At 41.8% G+C, this 23895-nt stretch overlaps 1 protein-coding gene and 1 long non-coding RNA gene across 6 annotated transcripts in view; both read left to right on the top strand.

The window, feature by feature from the left end:
* Window positions 1-23895, top strand: part of PAXIP1 (PAX interacting protein 1) — a 59722-nt gene that overhangs the window by 28156 nt on the left and 7671 nt on the right. For all 5 annotated transcript variants that reach the window (XM_011515982.4, NM_007349.4, XM_047420059.1 and 2 more), the window contains 10 exons: window positions 6130-6853; window positions 7346-7440; window positions 11490-11585; window positions 12798-12935; window positions 13608-13729; window positions 14179-14363; window positions 15323-15366; window positions 17962-18032; window positions 19625-19727; window positions 20833-21001. In XM_011515982.4, the coding sequence (XP_011514284.1) occupies window positions 6130-6853; window positions 7346-7440; window positions 11490-11585; window positions 12798-12935; window positions 13608-13729; window positions 14179-14363; window positions 15323-15366; window positions 17962-18032; window positions 19625-19727; window positions 20833-21001 (1747 nt within the window). The remainder of the gene's footprint in view (window positions 1-6129; window positions 6854-7345; window positions 7441-11489; window positions 11586-12797; window positions 12936-13607; window positions 13730-14178; window positions 14364-15322; window positions 15367-17961; window positions 18033-19624; window positions 19728-20832; window positions 21002-23895) is intronic.
* Window positions 351-5202, top strand: LOC124901781 (uncharacterized). The gene is made up of 2 exons (XR_007060601.1): window positions 351-4049; window positions 5168-5202. It is a non-coding gene; the product is annotated as an uncharacterized LOC124901781 (long non-coding RNA).

The following is a 23895-nucleotide window of genomic DNA, read 5'->3' as shown; positions in this document are numbered from 1 at the left end:
GTTACAGTTTATATAGCATGGAGCTTATTGATACAGAGTGGATCTTAAGTTTTGTTGCTGGTTGTTTTTTGTTTTGTTTTTGTTTTTTTTTTTTTTTTTGAGATGGAGTCTCACTCTGTCGCCCAGGCTGGAGTGCAGTTGCATGATCTCTGCGCACTGCAACCTCCACCTCCCGGGTTCAAATGATTCTCCTGCCTCAGCCTCCCGAGTAGCTGGAATCACAGGCATGTGCCACCATGCCTGGCTAATTTTTTTTTTTTTTTTTGTATTTTTAGTAGAGACAGAGTTTCACCATGTTGGCCAGCCTGGTTTTGAACTCTTGATCTCTAGTGATCCACCCACCTCGGCCTCCCAGAATGCTGGGATTACAGGTGTGAGCCACCACGCATGGCCTTAAAAGTTTTAAGTACATATATTTCTATTTAAGACAGAAAGAAGGTAGTTGAGGTGGTATATTGGCCACTCTGCATTTTTCTGGGCACTGGAGATAAAATTGTGACTAAGAAAACTAATTTAGGTAGAGAAGACATACAGTAAGTGGAGAAATATGAACAAAAGGACTGTTGATGGTGAAAGGTGTTTCAAAGAAAATAATCAGGGTCCCGTAATAGCAGGTGAAGGGAAGGAGGCTATTTTAGACGAGATGGTCAAGAAGGACCTCGGGCAGGAGGTGACTTAGATCAGGGTTGAATGACAAGGAGAGGCCATGTGAAGAACTGAGGGCACAGAGTTCCCAGGCAAAAGGAAGACCCAAATGGCATGAATTTGCTGAGTTCTAAGAAAAGAAAGTTAATGAAATTTGAACTTCATAAGGTGAATGAGTTCTAGGAAGGATTTAAAAGGGGCCTTGCCATATAGGGCCATAGTGAGGAGTATGGTCTTTCTTGGAAGGAAGCCACTGGGCTTTTGAGTTGGGGTGAGATGCACTCTGTGTAAACAGTGGATCTTTGAGGGGCAAGAGTGAAGCAGAGAGGCCCCTTAAGAGGACATAGAGTTGGAGTTTGAGACAGAAAAAAATGAATGGGAGGATCCAGCTTTCTGGCTTGAGCGAGTGAAGGAAGATGATGCTGTTTCAGAGATAAGGAACACTGGAAAGCTGCAGGTTTGAAGAACCTAAGTTTCTTTTCAGATGTGTTGGGTTGGAGGTATCTGATCCATGCAGGGGCTGTCTGCTACGTGGTGGAACCAGAGAAAACAAGGCTGACTGAAGCTGTGGAGGCGGATGTGAGAATGTGTAGTAGGTGGGGCAGAGCAAGAGGAGGGTCTGGGGCCAGGCTCTGAGGAGCCGCACCATTGAGAGCCAGCTGGGCTGTTCCATCTGATGGTGACACCCCGTCTGCCGCTTCACCTTGTTCTGGACACTTTCATTTCATAATGACAGCTCAAAGTCCCAGAAAAATGGCTCTGTAGCATATAGGAACAACCTGAAGCCGGATCCAGTATTCTCCACATCCACTTTCAGTGGAAAGGCTTGATGTTGATGAAGTGGGGAAATTCAGTATGGCGTAGGTATAAGGTGATGTTGACAATGATCATTTTATTGGGTATGATAATAGCAGTGGTTTACGTAGTGTTTAGAAATGCTGTGGGACAGACAAAATCTTTGTCTCCCCTCCCCTCCACCTAAGCAGCGAGTATTAGTAGTACACGGTTCTTGGGATGATGACAGCGGTTGGCTGGCATCCAGAGTAAGATAGAGGCAAACATGCCCTTTAGATGTTAGACAGCAGACAGTTAAGATGGTGGGGGAGAAGGTGAGCAGAGAGAGAAGGTCATCGGGTTTGAGGAGAATAGAAGATTTTCAAATAGGTGATTCATAGATAGGGAAGACTTTGGGTTTCTGGCTTGAGAGGTGGATGCCTGATAAAATGCCGAGCTGGCCTTCCTCAAGTCCTGGGTGGTGACAGTGCCTTGTAACTGAACAGCAGCTGCCCGTTAGGAGCTCTTGGGCCTGCTTCAGTGCCCACCGCTCCATGTCACCTTGTTGGGTCCCGGAGGAAAACAGGCCTGCCACTGACCATGGGTCTTGGGGGTGGTTGGGAATGTGTGGCTGAGGAAATGGGGAGAAGGCCACCAAGATGAGGAGGTCCAAGAGCTGCAAGGCCAGGGATTGTCCAGGTGGGTGCCCATGAGAGCGCTGGGGTCAGCCGAGTTTAGGGAAAAGGTAGATGCACAGAAGGAGCCAGCTCCAGCACCGCCCAATGCTGAGGGTGCCGGCCCTGGTCCCTGCACATCCGCGTCCAGGCAGGTGGGCGGGATAAAGCCACAGGGCACAGCCTCAGCCACAGAGCAGCAAAGTGACGATCACACAGTCGTCCTGAGAGCCAGAGGATGTCATGACAGGTAGAAAGTAAAGGCCATAAAGAATGACAGGCTAGAGGCAAAGAGGATTCTAGCATTTTTGACCTCAGTCATGAGAAGAGTGATGATACTGCTGAGGTGGAGGAATTGAGAAGGTGACCCAGTCCTGGCAGGAAGACTGCGGCCACGCAGTGGACCTGTCCTGTCAGCAGTGGGATATGCGAGATATGGGCCGTAAAGATCTCTCTCATAGGGTTGGTGTGAGAAATCATGGATTAAGCCTCTGGCACTTCGAGAAATGGCTACTTTCTCACTTTCTTTAGGTGAGAAATTATGGACAGAAGTCATCCATTTGAAATAGGAAATTTTCTTTGCTTTTCATTTATCTGTGGTGTCAAAAAGTGTTGGTCAGTTACTGCTGGTTAGTTACTACTTATTTCTAATATATATGTTTTGGTTGTTTTTTGAGACAGAGTCTCACTCTGTTGCCCAGGCTGGAGTGCAGTGGTGGGATTTCTGCTCACTGCAAACTGCACCTCCCTGGTTTAGGCGATTCTCTTGCCTCAGCCTCCTGAGTAGCTGGGATTACAGGTGCCCATTACCACGCCCGGCTAATGTTTGTTCATTTTTATTAGAGACGGGTTTTTGCCATGTTGGCCAGGCTGGTCTCGAACTCCTGACTTCAGGTGATCTGCCTACCTCGGCCTCCCAAAGTGCTGGGATTATAGGTGTGAGCCACCGTGCCTGGCCTTATTATGTTTTTCAAATACAATGGATGTTGGTTTAAATATAAAGTTCCTTAAGTTTGTATTTGGATATAGAGACAAAATAATTTACTTTGAAATGGAAAGAATTGACTGCAGTAGGGAGTTTGGGCACATCTCTGCACTGGAAATTGTCCTTAGGAGACAAATTTGATATACTCAGCTGTGTGCTCTAGCGGTGGAAAACTGAGAAGGCTCCATCCATTTCTAGTGAGTGAATGGATTTGATCACTAGTGAGAAGAATTGCGGAGATTTTCTGAGAGACTTTCAGCAATGCAAGAGAACATAAGGACGTTTTACTTCTAGATGTGAAGAAAATGACTGAAACTTTAGAAATATGAGACAGATTTAGTTGAACATTAGATTGTTGGGGGGAGTGTAACTTACCATCAAAATCCTGTTTAAATTGCAAATTTATAGTGGTTAGAAGCCATGTGATGTGTATCATACTGCTTTCTATATATGGCATTCAGTAACTCAGTATTAATGTAAATGAGGATTATGACAGTTGTGATGGAAAAATTTAAACTTGACATTCATTCAGAATTGTTTGTAGTATAGCACAATTACGTAATTGAGCAATTAAGATTCTTTTTCTTACGTTCTCCAGGACTAACATGTTTCCAGCCAGAGGCAGATCAGATGGTTGAAAAAGTGATCGGATGAATGTGGTAGGGGTTTTGGGAGGCATCTCGATGGCTGGCCTTGCAGATTTCTCCTCTCCATCCAGGCCTGCACCTCTCGCTTCCTCAAGTGGAGAAGGTTCCAGGCCAACGGCCATCTTCATTCCTAGCCGGGACTCTTGTCCTGAATCTCCATCTGTTCTTCTCCCTTAATGGGGTGGGTCAGCAGTGGATGAAGACCCATCTTAACTCAAGCCCGTAGTAGAAACAGCTGTTAAGTTGCCTCCTGTCAGCAGTGGATGGGCTGGGTCAGCAGTGGATGAGGACCCATCTTAACTCAAGCCCGTAGTAGAAACAGCTGTAAGTTGCCTCCTGTCCTACCTAGGCCTCCCTCAGCCCTCTGAGATCAGATGGAGCACTTTCTGCAGGCAGCAGACCCTGCTGAGTCCTCTTGGCCAATCTGAAAAATAGGAGCCTCTGGCCTCTGTGCTGTCCTGATGTCTGCTGCTGTGTTTGTCTAGGTCCTGTGCCTGTTCCTGAGCTCCCTTCCACCTGGGCTTGGCAGGTACAGAGAGGCGGGGAGCAGCATTTGGTAATGACTAGTTCAGCCCTGTCCACCTGCAGACGGGCATTTATTTCTTTACCATCCCTCAGAGTTCCATGGGCTGTTTACATATGAGGGTGAAAAAGTAATATGTGTACAAAATTCAAAAATTCAAATGATACCAAAGGACAGAGTGAACAGTTAAACTCTCAGCCCCCCTCCCACCCCTCGCTGCTGTTTACCTTCTCAAGAGGCAGCCGCTGTTTCCAGCAGTTTGCCGTGTAGGGCTCATGGCTGGTGCCCACCAGGCAGGCAGGTGCCCCACACGTGCATGCTTCTTAGGGGGTGTTTGCACAGCACCAAATGCTGCTGGGCTCCATGGGGTGGCATGTTGTGGGGTGAATTGTCCCATCTTCTTTTCTGGATTTTTAAAAATACTTTTAAATATGGAGATGAAACAGTTGTCTTATTATTTTGTTTAAAAGACATTTTTCTGCTTAGAGTTCCACTCAGGTGTTTCTGAAGTCTTGAATCCTTTTATAGAGATGTCTCATACATAAGGTGATTTTAGAGATGGGTGTGCCCAAGCTCTTGATTTTGACTTATTTCAATTCTAAACTCCCTTATTTATTACTAAATCCAAAATCTGTTACCCTTGCAGGTCATATAATCTTTGCAATTTGGAATCTGTTTAAGTGAAAGATACATGTTAGAATATGTTTGAGATTTTGGTATAGTTCTGATATGTGTTAAATTCCTAGAATTTTATTTAAATTTTAAATGCTTTTAATAGGGTTAAAAGTTGTATGGATTGAGTTAAGTAAAATCTATTTTTACTGATTTCCATGACCATAAGAAGTTGGTTTCAAATTTTTGTTGCTTGAGCATGTTGAACAAAATTCATTGTATAATGTGTATCTCTTGTTGTATTCAGTGCCCTATAGGATATTAAAAAAATAACTTACTCTGCTTGGTGGGCATCTGCTGGTCACCGTCCTTCTCCTACTCCTCAGCGTACACAGAACTCTCAGCTTATTCCCTGTCATTGTGAAGCAGAAAGAGCTAGAAGACAAATAGTCTGGTTTGAATTCTTTTTTTCTAGCTTGAAATATTTTTGTGTCCCCCATGAAGACTCAGTCATTTTTGAGGAAGCATCATTTCCCAGCTCTAATGATGAGTCCTTAGTTGGGAGGAACATCACCATTTAAACAGCCCCGGTGGTGTCTTAGCTGGCCTCCTTTTCCATAGCATGCCAGTGCACATAGCAAGTTGACAGTGGAGCGAAAGGCTCTTGGACTCACAGCTTGGGTCATGCTGCTTTCATCTGGAAGGTGATCCACTGAGAACCTTTGTTTACTAGACTCTGGGCTGTAAGACAAGAGGAAATGGGAAGTGGCAGCTGTGGCGAGAAGGTTTGAGGTGAGGCTGAGCCCGATTACCAGATGCCTTCACCACCTGTCATTCCTCAGTGCATTCCTGGGCCAGGAGAGGGTCTGCGGAGCTGATGCAGGCGATGGGCAGTGGAGTGGTGCCGCAGCACGGTGCAGGGAGCACCAAGGCTTAGCTACCAGGTGTGCACAGGACTCCCATGCCCTGCTCTGGCAAACACATCAGCCGTCTGAGTCTTTGTCACTTTAATTCGTTAGTTTACTCCATTTTACTGATGTAGTTTCAAATTTTGGTGGTCTCAATATATGAATTTACTTTACGATATTGGCGTTACAAAATAAATACAAAAGAAAATGCAGTATTGTTTTTGCAGTTTCCAATCATTTGCTGTGTCTACTTAGTTGAATATTGTTAATAAATAGGATATGCCATTCTCTTGACTAAGAAATTATCATTCATCTGTTTCAGGAACTGTTGATAATGTTTCACCTAACTTTTGTTTTGTAGATCTTACAGACTCTTTCAGCACCTACGAAAAATTTAGAACAGCAGGTGAATCACAGCCAGCAGGGACATACAAATGCCAATGCAGTGCTGTTTAGCCAAGTGAAAGTGACTCCAGAGACACACATGCTACAGCAGCAGCAGCAGGCCCAGCAGCAGCAGCAGCAGCACCCGGTTTTACACCTTCAGCCCCAGCAGATAATGCAGCTCCAGCAGCAGCAGCAGCAGCAGATCTCTCAGCAACCTTACCCCCAGCAGCCGCCGCATCCATTTTCACAGCAACAGCAGCAGCAGCAGCAAGCCCATCCGCATCAGTTTTCACAGCAACAGCTACAGTTTCCACAGCAACAGTTGCATCCTCCACAGCAGCTGCATCGCCCTCAGCAGCAGCTCCAGCCCTTTCAGCAGCAGCATGCCCTGCAGCAGCAGTTCCATCAGCTGCAGCAGCACCAGCTCCAGCAGCAGCAGCTTGCCCAGCTCCAGCAGCAGCACAGCCTGCTCCAGCAGCAGCAGCAACAGCAGATTCAGCAGCAGCAGCTCCAGCGCATGCACCAGCAGCAGCAGCAGCAGCAGATGCAAAGTCAGACAGCGCCACACTTGAGTCAGACGTCACAGGCGCTGCAGCATCAGGTTCCACCTCAGCAGCCCCCGCAGCAGCAGCAGCAACAGCAGCCACCACCATCGCCTCAGCAGCATCAGCTTTTTGGACATGATCCAGCAGTGGAGAGTTAGTAATGGAGATTATTTTTCCTCTCTCCTAAAAGTCTTGTACCCACATAAATGCTTTGAGAGTGTTTGAGTGTGGGGTGAGGATTCATATCAAAACAATTACTACAAAATGGAGAGTGTGAGTCTCATACCTAACAAAGAATATAGTTACCATGGGATAATTATGCTTTCTTTTGTACTTTGGGACATCATATCCTGAAGTGAATATTGGTGTCCCGTAGAACATCTAGGCTGCCACAGGGACTCATTCAGGGTATTTAATGGCCAGGCATGAGTTACCTTGGTTTTAGTTTTTAATGATCATTTGATGTAGACAGTTAAATAGTATCTTCGTAGCAATATTCCCTATGCACTCTGATTACTGGCAGATACGTCATGGTCAAGACTGATAAACATAACAGATTGACATTGTGAGGCGCCACTTTTTAACTTTTGTGCAAGCATATTCATAGGGTTTTAATTTTCTTTTTCTTATGTAATTTTACTCTAGTTCCAGAAGAAGGCTTCTTATTGGGATGTGTGTTTGCAATTGCGGATTATCCAGAGCAGATGTCTGATAAGCAACTGCTGGCCACCTGGAAAAGGGTGAGATTGTGCCTGGAGGAAGGATGACTGTGTCTGAAGATGCTTCTTTCTTATGTAGATGTAACTGTGTTCACTTAGCTGCATTCACTGAGCTGCACCTGCACGTGTTCTGAATGTGTGACGGGCATTTTGATTAACATTCTGTGTGACCTGAGGCACAGCACTTTTCTGGGCATCAGTTTTCTCAGCTGTTAGATGAAGATGGTGGACTTTTTATTTTTTTCAGCTTGGAAATTCCAGGGGGCACTAATTATATGTGTATAATTGGGGCAATGGAAATAAGTTCAGGGTTTTGGTGTCCTGGGAGAGGGACTATTAATTTGTATGCATCTCAGTCATTTCTCTTTCTCCAAAGGTAACTGTTAGAAAATCCTGGAATCTCTAGAACCTCAAATTCTTCCAGCCCAATTGTGAAACTGGAGTTAATTTAATTATGTATTATCATGCATGGTGGCCTTTAAAGAAAAGAAATACTTTTTCTTGCATTCCCCAAAACAAAACTGAGTCAAAAAATTTTTTTTATAAAAACCGAGTTTAAATATGCCTCTAATATATCTTGAATGTGCTTCACTATAAACATCCCTAGTGCTTAAATCCCTGCTATGTGCCAAGCATGCTGCAAGACTTAGGGAATATGTGCGAAATCACAGAGACGGAGAAAACGGAAGAGCAGTGCGAGAGGCAGCCACACGGCTAAGCAGAGGTGGGGTGGCAAATGCAGGCTGTTGTGAGAGCCTGAGAAAGGACCTTCACCCATCGTGTTGTGGGGTGATGTGTTAAGAAAAGTCTGCTGGGAGAGGTGATTCCTGAACTGCTTATAGGATGAGTAGGAGTGAGAATTAGGGGGGAGGATTTTCCAAATAGTGCAGCACAGCCAAAGGCATGTGATTGGTGAAACTGACAGGAGGGTGCAAAGGAGGGTGCCTCAGTGGGATCCACGAGGCAGGGGTTGGGGCAGGAGCCAGGGCTGGTGTGTCTTCCAAGACCTTGTTGGTGTGCCATGTGGTGAAGTTTAGATGCAGGTGAAGTGATCAGCTGTGCATTTTAAATAGTAAAGGGTTGAATCTGAGGGTGACCAGGGAGATGACTGTGTGGCTGGCTGAGGAAAGAGGCGGATGGCATGTGCCAGGGTGAGGAAGGAAGGGAGCAGTTCTGAGAAGGACAGCAGCAGAGATTTTTTAAAAGTCAGAAGTGTTCGAAGGCAGCACTGAGAAACTGTCTTGAGAAGTACAACAAAACTCAAAGATACAAAAGTTAGTGGAGAAAAGTTTGGGGTTTTTGTCTTGTTTTCAAGTTAAAAGATTTATCCAAGAGGTCTAACATTAAATAGGATCTTGGGAACAGAGAAAATGAAGGCAAGAACATTATGAAAGAAAATAGCTTTGCAACTGAAGGCCATGTGCCCTCAGGTTGAAAAGAAATGTAAGGAGAGCCATGATAAGGCAACTGGGAACATTCACAATGCTGGTAGAGAAAACTGTTTTCTCTCAAAGACAAGCTCACTGGAGGGGAAACGTGGACAGATCAGGAGTCTGGGTGATTTCGGGAGCCTCCAGTGCAGTGCGCGGGGGCCAGCAATGGAGCAGCTTCTTCCATTTTTGAGGGAAAATAATTTCCAACCTAAAATAACCTATAGAGCCTATCAGTCATAAGACTATGGAAGGAGGATATTTGTAGACTAATGGTAAAAAATGTACCTCCCTTATATTCTTTCTTAGGAAGCCACTATGCCAGCAGAGAGTGAAACATGGTAGCCAGGAAATGAGGCATTTGACTCAGAGATTGAAAGAGAGTTCCTAGGATGGAGGTAAAGGGAAACGCCAATAGATGAGAAAGTAGGTGTCGAGAGAACTAGACCTGGGACCGGAAGAGAGACTTCCAGGAGGAGCAAGCAAACGAAAACACTGGTAGATTGAGGAGAGACATGTACCGCTGACCCCTGAACAGTGTGGGGCCTAGGGGTGCTCACCCCCATGCAATCAGAGATCTGTACATCACTTTTGATTCCCGAAAACCCAAATTACTAATAGCCTGGTGTTAACCAGAAGCCTTACTGATAAACAGGCAATTAACGCATATTTTGTATATGTATTACCATATTCTTACAATAAAGTAAGCTAAAGAAAAGAAAATGTTATTAAGAAAATCATAAGGAAGAGAAAATATATGTACTATTCATTAAGGGGAAGTATATCATCATAAAGGTCTTCATCCTCGTCGTTTTCACGATGAGTGGGCCTAGGAGGAGGAGGGACAGGAGGGGCTGGTCTTACTCCCTCAGGGGTGGCAGAGGTGGAAGAAAATCCAGCTATCAGTGGACCCACACAGTTCACACCTGTGTTGCTTAAGTATAGGTGATACTACATTCATTTTCTCTTGCTGTGTAACAGATTATCTCAAAACCCAGTGGCTTAAAACAATAAACATTACCTCTCAGTTTGGTCGTGGGTCAGAAATCCTGCAACAGCTTGGCAGGGCGGTTGTGGCTCAGCTATCTCCTGAGGTTGCAGTCAGGATGCCAGCGGAGGCTGCAGGAGCCCCTTCCAGGATGGTTCCGTCACATGGCTGTGGGCTGGAGGCCTCAGCTCCTCACCACAGAGGCTCTCCAGAGGGCTGGTTGTGTGTCTTCACAGCATGACAGCTGGCTCCCTTCCCCAGGGGGTGTGACCCAAGATAGAGGGAAAACCCGCAGCGTTATGGTGTCTTTTGTGACTGAGTTATGGGAGACTCCCACTGTCAATTCCACCATATTAAGTGACTAAGTCTAGACCATATTTAAGGCTAGGGGAGTAAAGCTCCAACTCTTAGAGGGAGGAGTATACAGTAATTTGCAGACATATTATAGAACCACCATATGTACATTTTTCATAGAGTTTGGGAATGAAATAGTAAAAGGTATATAGAAAACTAAGAAAAGGGAAAATTCTGGGGGGCTGGGATGAGGAAGTGATTAGCACCAGGGAAAACCAAAGTTTATACCAGAAAGGAACTCTAATCTTAGGCTGCCATATTAAGCCATGTGGCTGGGCTACATTGTGTTAAGTCACTGATGAATGATCTAAACAAGAGTCTGGATATAACCAAATCAGGAAGGCTTGAAGAATGTGTGTGTTATTGGGGGGAACGGTGTCCACAGTAGGAGGTAGATGGTTATGTAAAACTAGAGAAAAGGAACTAATATAAAGTGTTAGTTGGAATATATTAATAATTGTCAGTGGAAACAGCTTAAAGTGCTAAATGTGCTTCAGGGGAGTGAAAAGCAGGGATGGGTGAGGAACCTGTGGTTTTGTCCTGTGCCTCATTAAACTATATTTATGCTTAGCCATAGGAAAAATAAACATTCACATCTTAAAAGTAGTAAGTGAAAGAATCGGTTTTCTTAGGGGGCAGGTCTTTTTAAAGTTTATATTTCACCTAATAGGCCGTCAGATTCTCCTTTTTCCATGTACAATATTTTGAGTTCTGAAGAATGTCCAGGGTCGTGCAGCTGTCACAGCCCGGACACAGAGCAATTCCTTCCCCCAGAAAACCAGATGTGTTTTGAGAAGAAACTGTTGGGATTTACTAATTTCATTCTGATTTGCTTTTTATTTCCCTTTTTAAGGGAGGTGGATCTGCCCACCATAGACCTTTGGCAGTATCTGAAGATCTTTAGTAGTCGCGGCTAGGGGGCTGCTGCTGGCATAGGGTGGGTAGAAGTTGGGGACACTGCCAAACATCCTCCTCTGTACAGGACAGCCCCCACTTCCCAGAACTCCCTGGTCCAGAGTGGCAGTTACATTGAGCTTGAGAAGCCCTGGAGTGCATTCCATTGTTCTTCTCTTGTATCCTGGGAATTCAGATTAAATTTAGAGTATTGGAGTTCATTTTCATTGTATGGTGCTGGGTAGAAAAGTCCGTAAATAGAACTGTTACATGTCCTTGATACTTTGAGGAAATACATGATATAAATATATGATAGAGTCTTTTAATAGCTGCCTTATTTGAAATTGGAATTCTCCTCTATTCTGAGTGATTGATGACTGCATTGGTCGGGTCTTTGTGTGTAGATAATCCAGGCACATGGCGGCACTGTTGACCCCACCTTCACGAGTCGATGCACGCACCTTCTCTGTGAGAGTCAAGTCAGCAGCGCGTATGCACAGGTAAGGAAAATAGCCTTAGCTGCGACCAGGAGCAAGGTCTGGCATTTTTAATATGCAATCTTAAATGCTAGTGATTATTATTTTTGGAAAGAACTTTTTTCTACCTCTAAAGATAGGAAAATTCCTTCTTCCTGTGATCGAATCTTTGGTGGGATTGATATCTTTTGTGGGCACCATTGTCTTTGAGCAATGGAGAAAGAAAGGGATGTTCCCAGGTGGTGTTAAGAAAGGGCGGACAGGAGGCCGAGGTGGACGGGTCACGAGGTCAGGCGTTTGAGACCAGCCTGACCAACCTGGTGAAATCCTGTCTCTACTAAAAATACAAAAATTAGCCAGGTGTGGTGGTGCGCAGCTCTAATCCCAGCTACTCAGGAGGCTGAGGCAGGAGAATTGCTTGAACCCAGGAGGTAGAGGTTGCAGTGAGCCAAGATTCCACCACTGCACTCCAGCCTGAGTGACACAGCGAGACTCCATCTCAAAAAAAAATAAAAGAAAGAAAGGGCGGACACTCCCTGCAGTCACCATTCCAGCTGCTCTCTGTGCACGGTGAAGGGACGCAGGATTCTGTACTGGTGTGTGACTTGCACACAAGCGTGTAAAGACCAGGTCCCTTACAGAGCTTTTCTAAAACTACCGGGGTGCAGGCTTTCTCCTCAATATTACCTTCCTGTGCTCTCTGAAGTTTCATTTCTTTTCAAAAAATAATGCTTATTGTAGACAGATTATATATATATGTGACAAATGACTTCCAAGACACCCCTCTTAAAGAGGATAGCCATTCACAGGATCTGCTTTTCCTGTAAAAATGTGGAAATACTTCTGAGACTTTTTTTTGTTTTCCTGTGGTTCATCTTAGGTGGATGGTTTTTTGTATTTTTTCTTATGTGGGGCCCTCTGTCCTTATGGGGCACTTTTAACTTTGGTGGTCACACATGTTGTTTCAGTCATCACTGAAGTTATTTTTAAGGTTGTTGTAGAATTTGTTGCTTTTGTAGACTCTTGTTTGCAGATGGATAGTAACATTTTTAGGTTGTATTTCAAGTAACCAGCTACACGGTTTTAATTCGTTACTTTAATCAAGTGCTAGATGTCATGAAATTCTTTTATGGGGCTTCCAATGAAAAGGGCATTGTAGTTATACAACCTTAGAATTTTCTTTAATCCTGCAGCAGAAAAACAAAAACAACAAACCTATAATTTTATGTTTGACAGGCAATAAGAGAAAGAAAGAGATGTGTTACTGCACACTGGTTAAACACAGTCTTAAAGAAGAAGAAAATGGTACCGCCGCACCGAGCCCTTCACTTCCCAGTGGCCTTCCCACCAGGAGGAAAGCCATGTTCACAGCATGTAAGACAGAGTCCTCGCGTTCCATTTGTTAAATCATCCTTCGACTTTGGCGAATAATCACTTGCTAGTGCTTACCTGAGGCTCCTGCGTTGGCTTCTGAGTCAGAGCTTCTCTATGTACTTTTGCCCAGTTCATAAGTGCCTGCTCATAAGAAATAGTGTGTTTTCTTTTAGTTCTGTGTAACAGTCACAATTTTCTGCACATAGTAGATATTTAATGGATTCTCCAGTCTTTGACACTATTTAAAATCCAAAAATAAATCAGATGTCTTGCACCAAAGGCGGCCCCTGTTGGGTTAACTAATCAATAGTTGTGGGTCTTCCCACTCAAATGATCTCAGCGTTGGGATCAGTGAGGAGAAGGAGGAGCTGGCTCGTGGTTACGTGCTTTATAACATAACTGTTGGGATTGTCTGAGCAGTGTTGCAGTAACATAAACAAGGCATCTCATGTTCATTCTTTTTCTTCCTCCCCGTGAGGGCTATGTGTGTAACCTTTTGACCATTAATACAGTTCTGGTCTTGAAAGTTTTAGGAATGATATTACCAAATGTGTTCCATAATGCCAAAGAAATAGTGAAAAAATATGTATCAACTAAGAAGTAGAAGAAATAGTACTTGGTTTTGGTTTTTTGCTTATTTTGTGTTTACCTTATTTTCTCTTTTTTTCTTAGATTATTTCTGTGACTGGATTTGTTGATAGTGACAGAGATGACCTAAAATTAATGGCTTATTTGGCAGGTGCCAAATATACGGGTTATCTATGCCGCAGCAACACAGTCCTCATCTGTAAAGAGTAAGCAAATTTTCGAAACTGTTTTTAATCATAAATTTACACACAATATAGTGGCTATTTCAATAATTGTGCCTTTTTTAGTATGTCATAGTTTTGTGGTAGAAATTTGTGGAAATCAAAGTCTGTTAAAGTATGACAATGATATAGTAATGTTAGTAGAAATACCTAGAAAACATTTGAATTAATGAAATTAGATGAACTAATGAAATTTGAATGAACAAAACAGGAATAGGGTAGAAGTAAGACTCCTTAGTGGTTTTGTAATTCTGTGTGAGCCTTGAGGTGTATATTTCATTACCATTCAGGGTCACCCTCAACTTTGCTAGGATATGCCTCCCACTTCTATTATGAGAAATTTTTTATTGCCTTTTGTTGGAAATAAATGTACATTTGGACAGTTGACATCTCTAACATTTAATAAATATGTTTTCTCCTCAAAAAATAAAAAGACCAACTGGTTTAAAGTATGAAAAAGCCAAAGAGTGGAGGATACCCTGTGTCAACGCCCAGTGGCTTGGCGACATTCTTCTGGGAAACTTTGAGGCACTGAGGCAGATTCAGTATAGTCGCTACACGGCATTCAGTCTGCAGGATCCATTTGCCCCTACCCAGCATTTAGTTTTAAATCTTTTAGGTAAGTGAAATTCTACATGCTGCAAATCTTACTTAAATAAAATCATTAGCATTACTTCTACCATCTTTTTATTCATACTAATTACCAGGCCTGGCTTGAGCTTTCTAATTAGTTTTTGACTCATTTCCAATTTCTTTTCTATACTCTTTCTTCTTTCTCCCCACTCTGCCCAGGATTTTTGTTGGTTGGTTTTTGTTTTTGTTTTTGTTTTTGTTTTGAGACAGGGTCTCGCTTTGTCACCCAGGTTGGAATGCAGTGGTGTGATCATGACTCACTGCAGCTCGATCTCCTGGGCTCGGGTGATTTCCCTACCTCACCCTCCCAAGTAGCTGGGACTACAGGCATGTGCCATGGTTTAGTATTTTTGTTTGCTTTTGATGAACTCTTAGAGATGGAAGGAGCGCTTGAAAGCTTTTTGATAGTCTTGCCTCTCAGGCCAGTTAATCTTTTGTCCAAATTGCTCCCTACCCTACAGAACATTCCCTGCTTTCCTAGAATTGACGTCTGTCCTCTTTGTCACTATTGAGCTTTGACTGACTTGCTGTTACATCTTGGATGCCATCATGGCTCCTGTGATAAGGCAAGAAGGTTTGTGCCTGCTAGAAGCCAGACTATGTGAAACCCAGACTTGGACACAGGCCTAGAAATGTGTACCCAGACAACCCACGGTGGGAGGGTGAATGCCATGGGTTTCGACACAACGTTTGCTTTGTTGTTTGCTGCCGATGGTCTTAGTGCTACTTCATCCAGACAGCATGTGAAACGAAAGCAGCAGCATGCCCTCACCTTGCCTGGAAAGCTTTCTTTAAAACTTCATTATAGTACTTACATTTATCCTTATTAAGTGTTGTCAGCTAAACCACCTGTCTGGTGAGGATTATCAGGGAAGACTTTTATAAAAAGGCCTTTTTATTTAAACAACGTATCTATCATAAAAAATAATGTGTTTCTCTCTTTAGATGCTTGGAGAGTTCCCTTAAAAGTGTCTGCAGAGTTGTTGATGGTATGTCAAATTAATAACCTTACCTTGGCTATTACTGTATTATTAAGATGCAGTAGGGATGTATTTGTCTTCATAAATTAAAAATTATTTTAGTAACTTGTCAACATGATAACGAATTATCTACTCCAGTAAATCCTAGGACTGATTTTTCATAGGGTTAGAAAGGCAAGAACTTTAAGAACCACTGGAAGCAATGGGTGTGTAACCTACTTGGGGCTACAGATCAGAACTTAAGGAGTCCCGGGTCTCTTGATGAGGGGAATGTTTTCATAGTGTCCTGAGTTGGGAGTCACATCACAGGGCTGGAGGTCTCTGCTTTTCAGGATAGGCCATTCTTGAAGTGTGAGGGCCATTGGTTGTTAGTTACAAGACAAAGAGGTGCTTTCTGCATTCTCATCTGTCAAGCATGATGAGTGGAAGATCAGTTGTTTTTTCTCTTTTCCCCACATTCACGTTTACTAAGTTACAGACAGGACCACTTCAATAATTTTTCAGTTTAGACTTTGTCTGCTGTGACTTCTCACTGTTCGACTGAACATCAGCACTTTGAGAACAGCAGTTTTTTTTACTGTTGGCCAGTAGTAGTGTAATTTAAAGGCTTTGGTTTATGTTCTTGTTGTTACATACTAACCTTTGTTTTGAAAAACAGATTTCCATGTCATGTGCCCACCAAGTTTTCACCACATTTCTATTGTATACAGAGGTAATTTAGGGATTGTGCCACTTGAACAACTAGCTGAGGAGAATAGTTTCATGAGGATTAGCAGCTAACACCCAAGCTTGTGTTTCTGGTTATTCATCTACTGACTTACTCGTTTTCCAGATCTCATCTGGAAGCTGCTGATAATCATCCCACGTCTCTGAGGAAGCCCCTCCAAGCCACAGTCTTGTTTTCTTCTTGCTAGTGATAATGTGATCATAGATGTATTGTTTTCCTAGCTTAAACTAGTAGTTATGATTTTAATTTTAAAGACATGACCAGTTTTGACACATCAGCAAAAGCAAATATTCTCACAGTTCTTTTAGCTGAAAGGAATTTTATGGTGGCTTTTAAGCTCACACTGGGAAAGTGGTCATCAGAGTTTTCCTCCCAAACTACATGGCCTATATTCTAAAGTTGTCAGGGGCCCCAAATGTCAGCTTCTCTTGTGGCTTTGTATCAGTAATTAAAAGCTAAAAATCTTAGAGACAAAGAGGCCCAGTTTATCCTTTTTGCCTATCCCACCATTTGTTTCTATTCTTGGTACCAATGAATGACAATTTGGAGACTTAAATGCGATCTTTGGAAATAGAGTTGAGAAATTGCTTTCTTATAAAGGCTATAATAGGAAAGTAATAAACTTTCCTGCAAATTATTATAAAGCTTGATTCTCTATGTATGACAGGGCTAATAGATTTTGAATGCTTTCTGTAGATATATTTATTTTGGTTGTCTAGATATGGCAGCAATATTTAGAAAAAATAAGTTGTAGTTGAAGTAAATTAATAAGATTGAGAGCAATTCCTTCAAGTAATAAAACACCTGGGAAAGACATGGTTGGCCCACACAAGTCAAAGAACCTCTGAGTTGAAACTATGAAGGAGGAGTCAACAAGGAATAGGGTAGAATGGAGATGCTGACTGTGGTAGGGACCCCACAAGGGAATCCCATCTCCTTCCTGCTCTCTTTGTGCTTGGCATGGCTTCTGCTCCAGGGTCAGGGACTGGAGCTGGTCCTAGTGGATGTGACCATGTTGCTGAGGCAGAGTGTAGGTTTTGGTACCTTGTCTGGCTGTTGGTAGCAGTGTTGATCTGATTGTCATGTAACATCTTTTGTGAAATCTCATAGGTGAAATTTCTCTTTTAGGAATAGTCTTTTAGGGTGGAGGTGTAATTTCAATCATGTTTTCCACATTCTTTTTTTTTTTTTTTTTTTTGAGACGGAGTCTCGCTCTGTCGCCCAGGCCAGACTGCGGACTGCAGTGGCGCAATCTCGGCTCACTGCAAGCTCCGCTTCCCGGGTTCACGCCATTCTCCTGCCTCAGCCTCCCGAGTAGCTGGGACTACAGGCGCCTGCCACCGCGCCCGGCTAATTTTTTGTATTTTTAGTAGAGACGGGGTTTCACCTTGTTAGCCAGGATGGTCTCGATCTCCTGACCTCATGATCCACCCGCCTCGGCCTCCCAAAGTGCTGGGATTACAGGCGTGAGCCACCGCGCCCGGCCATGTTTTCCACATTCTAAATTGGGACACAGGACAAAATATTTGAAATAAAAACCATTTTGAGAAGTTCAAGGTTGAGGGCTGCATATATATAACATGGAGGAAAAAAAGCAACAAAGATAATTTAAAGTACTGAAAGGATTTTGTGAATAAAGAGGGAAAGAAAAGAACAAAAAAACGATACAGAGGTTCTCTCCGGAATATTAGCTGCTTCTCCCCACTTGCATTGTCCTAGTGATCTTTTGAGGTGAAGACTAGTTCTGATGTGGTGAAGAAGAACATGATTCTTGTATATGTTTAAGTAGTTTGATTATTTGACACATAAATCTTCTGGAAGCTACTGTATTACTTAGTAGATTGATTGAATTAAAGTCGACAATATTTTAATTGCAGAGTATAAGACTACCTCCCAAACTGAAACAGAATGAAGTAGCTAATGTCCAGCCTTCTTCCAAAAGAGCCAGGTATGAGTAATAACCTTAAATTTTTCATTGCTGGCTTTCACAGGTCTGCTTTGGAAAATCGGTGGCAATTGAGGAAAGTTTCTAAAATGTTTTGCAGTAAATAAGATTTGAAAGAGTTTGCTTTTTGCTTTACAACTTTATTGGGATATATTTCATTTTAATGACATAGGCCAGTATATTTTTTATTTTAAAAAAATTCAGTCTTTTTCTTTAAGTGGCATATTATAAGAAGCCCCTTTCCAACATGTAAAACAGAAGTTGCAGTGGTGGAAGTGGGGTGGGAGGTCTAGAACCCAGCTCAGAGATAGACCACGGAGCCCCAGGCCTCCTGGGCACGGCTGAAGAACCTGCTGTACATGCCAAGAGAGCGTGTAGGCTGCCGAGAGAGCATGTAGGCTGCCGAGAGAGCATGTAGGTGCCGAGAGAGCATGTAGGTGCCGAGAGAGCATGTAGGCTGTGGCGTCATCTTGGGTATGCTCCTTGGATCTGCCAGTTCTTGATGAGGACAAAGCAATGTTGGCCACGGTGGGAAGGAGGATCCAGACCCAAAGCCTTTGGAAGGACATGTGCAATGCATATGGCATGTTGGGTTTTGGCTTGGAGTATGCAGATTGAGATGCATATCATTTTAGTGTCATGTCGGCCAGCAGGAGTCAATAATGAAGTCCTTCCAATCATTTAATTAGAAAGGCATAGCAAATGCAGGAGCAAACTAACAGAGCTTTTATTTTCTTCCTTGATTCTAGAAAACTCTTCTTTCCAGACTGTACATGGTGAAATATAACTGCTTGAATTGTTTTTTGCAGTTACCAGGTTCCTCATCTTTTCTCTCCCTGCTCCTCCTCTTTCCCTCCTTCCATTCCCCACTTCCAGAACACAAACTGAACTGTTGACTTTTGTAATAAAATCCTAATTATGTGATTTTTTTGAGGCTGTCATCAAATTACCACAAATACATTTTAAAATAAATTTTTATTGGACTGTCTCAGAAAATAATAACCTGAAAAAAAGACCTAAAAAATTCATGTAAAAAACAAAAAGGTTTAATTTAAAACGTGTGCTTGAGCAGAGCCACGTTTTTATAATTTGTGGTTGAAGAGGGCTAGAATGTGAAAGACACTGGAAGCTCTAGCGACACTCGTCTTGGCTGACTTGTATTGATGGTGAACGTGCAAACAAGGAATGGCCTGAGTCACACAAGGTTATCTTAAAAACTTGATAGAAAAAAATGAAGTGATAGAGCTAGCAAAATCAGTGATGTTTAGAAGCAACTTTGATATTTGCTTTCTTCTGAAAGCCAATTAAAAAAATTAATCAGGAGGGGATTGATGAAGAAGAAAGTATTGATCTTAACCAAAAGTGAATTGGATGCCTCCCTTGGAGGCTTCAAAGGTAGTCTTTTTTGGAAGGTGACTTTATGGAAATGGTGGAAAGAAAGGAAGGACAGATAGCTCATTGTATTTTTCCTTTAAGAATAAAAACCACATGCAGTTAAAGCTTGTTAAACTAATGAAATCCCTTGTTTTCTAAAGAAAATTTTCATTGTAAGTAAATATGAAATCACTACTATTTTATGTGTATTTCTTCCACAGAATTGAAGACGTACCACCTCCCACTAAAAAGCTAACTCCAGAATTGACCCCTTTTGTGCTTTTCACTGGATTCGAGCCTGTCCAGGTTCAACAGTATATTAAGGTGAAATTTCATCTACTTCGTACAAGGATTTTTAGCAGTGTCCTTTTTTGTATATATTTACTTCAGATCAGCAGTTTTATTAACTTACATAGTTTAGATAGTTATAACAGTCTTTATGGTGCATATTTATGAAGTATTTTTAGTAGTATTTATAGTAATAACTAAATATTTAGTGGCTTCCTGCCCTGTTCTGTGCTATTATTTCATACTTAGATACTTGCTTTCTTATTAGTATAGGCCAGGAACCATGTTAATAGTCACATGAACATTTGCAAGTCTCCTTCTGTGTCGTATTCATAAAGACATCCAGCATGAAGGAAAACTGTCTTTTCAAGATCTCTGATTGAAACACAGTCTATCCAAGATTAGTTTTCTTGGGTAGAGTGAGGCCAAAAAGGAGTTTGTGTATTTGTTTAGATGATAAATGGGCACAGGTTTTAAATATACTTTTTGAAATAACATCCCAAAGGATGATGGGATTTTGTTTTGTTTTGGTGAGGGAGAGGATGGTTAAGAGTATAAGTTGACCTGTATTATGGTGGATTCGTACATTTTACTCCTGGTTTCCTTTTTAAGGAAAAGAAACAATTATAAATGCTAGTATTATACATTTAGAACAAATTAATTTCTCCACCTTTAAAATGTGAGGATAGTTATTAGGAGCTCGCTTTTTTATATGCTCAAGTCTTAGCCAGTTTTTATGCTATCATTTCAAAAAATGAAGATAGCAGGTAAATGTTCTTCATTAACACCAGTTTTGGCCTAGGAAGTCTTGGCTGTTTACTCTTCATTGTGAAGTGAGCTGCATCATTCTCATGTCATTTAATTTATTCATGGAGATATGTTATTGATGTTTGATGGAGAATTCATGTTTTAATCTTGATTTGTGTGGAATTGAACTACAGAAATGTAAATGATAAATTCTCTTTTTTATTTTTCTCTTGTAGTTACAGGTTTTGTTTTACCTGTCACACTGTTTTCTGTGGCTGAGAATTACAGTCATAAACCTTGTCTTTAGGTAGATATTCCTCTGTGTTACTCTGTGTCAGTGTGGCTCTGTGGATGCTGAACTTTTTCATTTCCGACCTGTGTTTGTGACCTTTAGAAGCTCTACATTCTTGGTGGAGAGGTTGCGGAGTCTGCACAGAAGTGCACACACCTCATTGCCAGCAAAGTGACTCGCACCGTGAAGTTCCTGACGGCGATTTCTGTCGTGAAGCACATAGTGACGCCAGAGTGGCTGGAAGAATGCTTCAGGTGTCAGAAGTTCATTGGTAAGGAGCAGCGCCAGTAACTTTGCTTTTAATGCCAAATAAACTTTTTTTTTTCTTGAATTCATCTCTTTTCATCCCAACAAATATTTAATTTTTAAACTATGTGATAGTTATTCATTTAAATTTAAAAATTTATTTCATATCCCCAGTGATTCCTTTGATTGATGTCTTTGCATTTTACCCTAGGTGTAAAAGTTTTGGTAAATTGGACAATATTAGGGGGAAAACAACCTCTATATCCCTCTTTTTATTTTCTTGTTAGTATATTTTGTTTGGAAATCTGGCTGTAAAATGAGATTTTTCAAAGTGCAGGGAAGTATTTTTTTCTTTATTTGGAAAGAGAGCAGGTGTATGTAAATGTCCTACTCAAATACACTTTGAATATCAGTTTATATAAGGAGGGAAAGACATCTATGTCCTCTTGCCCATCTTCCATTGTTCAGAGCCCCCAAAGAGAAATTCTTTTACTAACAGGCACATTTAGACATGGTATGTAAAGGATAGTTTTTTCTTAGATTGATACACACCTAAATGTTTTTAGAACCTTGCTAGGTATAAAATAAGTATAAATTCTAAGCAATTTTTTTTCTTCATGGAGGTTGTATAGCCAGGGCAGCTATGTGCCCTTACTGTCCTGCATAGGAGTGGTGTCACCCTGTGTCTGCAGGGTTGGTGTCCCCAGTGCGTCATCTAGGTCAGGCACCTCTCAGCTTCCCCAGCTGTGTCCTCCATCCTCCCCTGGGCCCTGTCTGGGTTGAAAGGCTCAGACACATGCCCCATGACAAGCTTCACTGAATTCTCAGTCGTTTTTCTCATTTGGTCTTTCTGCCCCAACCACACTGGCACTAAAACTGAGCTCCCTGGCTACTCCATCATGTAGCAATGATATTGATCACCAGCCCCTGATTTAGAGCATCCACATGCTCATTTTTCTGTGCCAGTTGTTTGCCCTATATTGACGTGTTCTCGCACTTTCTCACCTATGCCTCCCTCGCCCCCGACCCCTTAAGCAGAAAGATACAGCTGCCAAAGGGAAGAGCAAGTCATGTGGCTGTGGAGCAAGCAAGGCCTGCAGGGGGCGCTACTAGGTCCCGTTACACTCTTGTGGCTAAACTCACCTTATTTATCACTTAACAGACACAAGTCGTCATTAAATCCATCTTTTAAATTTAAAATATTTTAGATTCATGTCACATTTTTGGCCACAGATTTTAAATATAATTCATGTTTATGTAAATAAATTAGAAGTGTATATATCTTAAAGTTCATGTAGTCTAATTTTACAGATGAGAAGACCCAGAAAAATAAAGATACTTAAGATTGCTGTTTATAGCAAAGCTAGAAGTAAAGTTAAAATTTTATGATTCTGTATATCTAAGGCAGTAAGACTCAGGAAAGAATAAATCATTAATCTGAAGGAAAGACTAAATCCTCAACTATGATATTCAGGCAATTCTTGTCATACAGGTAGTTATGCTCTATAAAGTTGCACAGACACTGAGTTAGTGAATGCTGTACTGTAGTCTCTGGGTAAACACGGGGTTAGGTTCCTGAGCGCCTCTGTTCACTACATTTTCATCAGCCAATCATATATAACCTTGTTTTATGTGTGTTTCTGTTTAAAGGTACCTTATTCAATGTATATTGTTAATTCACTGACATTGAACTCATGATCCACAGCACTGTAACTCACGCCTGCATGAAGCTTCCCTGAGACACATATTTTCTCCATAAGGCACATCACTGCCTTCTTGCACTTAGGGCTGTGGACATTTTAAACAGCAAAATCACCAACATAAAGCACACAAATTTGAAAGCAATAGCACTAAATAGATCACAAAAAGGATGCTTATTCACCATTTCAGCTGGAACAGGAAGGCAAGGCATGGCCTTGTTCCTCCCGGCTAGGAACGTTCATGTGGGTGACTGAATCTTTTCCAGTCCACGTACGTCCACAAATGGCCACCGAAGTGCCACAGACACTGATTGTGGGTTCATAAATAAATTTCAGAGGGGAGGAAAATTAGCAAAGAATCTGTGAAATAATGCGGCTCGCATGTACTAAGTGGTATTTAGAAATTTTTTTAATTGAAATTTTGAAAATTTTTTGACTCTAAAAAGGTATTAATGAAACATAAAACTTAACAATGAAGGCAGAAGAAGAACATAGTAGAAACAATTACTACAAACATTTTAGCTTCCAATTTCATATAATGTTATACAGTTTAGAAGGAGATAGTCTATTCGTTAATAGAAATAGTAAGTGTACTTTTTTAGCTTCTGCTGTGGGAGCATGGCATACACCAGCTTGGGTGGTGGGGAAAGCGGGTCTGTAATGTTCCAGCCTCTGGTTGGCTCCATCGGCTGCTTTTGGGCAACACCCAGCTTTAGAGATCTTTTTTGTTACTTTCTGACTTTGCTTATTCTTTTTCTTTTCCAACCAAGAACATGCTAATTCTTTGAAAATTAGTTTGCCAAGCAGCCAATTTAGTGAATGACCAATTTACTTAATTTTTCAAGTTTCAGTTTGTGAAAATGTGGTTGTTTTATCTGTATATAAAGTTTACAGTTCCTATTTAATGGGAAGTTTTGGTTGACTAGCTTTTATTTCTTTATGGCACTGTTAATAAGTATTTGCTGTGTTGCTCTCTGAGGGTTAGAAAGTGGTTGTTATAAACATTTAATACTGAGAAAACATTTCATATTTTATCTTCCATATTTTAGGATTTCCTAAGAGAATTTTTCCAGTTTATAATTATTGTTTTTTAAAAATAGACAATTTTTAGGGCAGTTTTAAGTTCACAGCAAAATTACAGAAAGTACAGTGAGTTCCCATATACCCCAGCCCATACCCATGCACACACACCGCCACCCCCACTACAGTCACCATCCCA

This window comes from Homo sapiens, chromosome 7, assembly GCF_000001405.40.
Source record: "Homo sapiens chromosome 7, GRCh38.p14 Primary Assembly".
NCBI classification, from domain to species: domain Eukaryota; kingdom Metazoa; phylum Chordata; class Mammalia; order Primates; family Hominidae; genus Homo; species Homo sapiens.
This window is presented reverse-complemented; position numbering and strand designations above follow the sequence as displayed.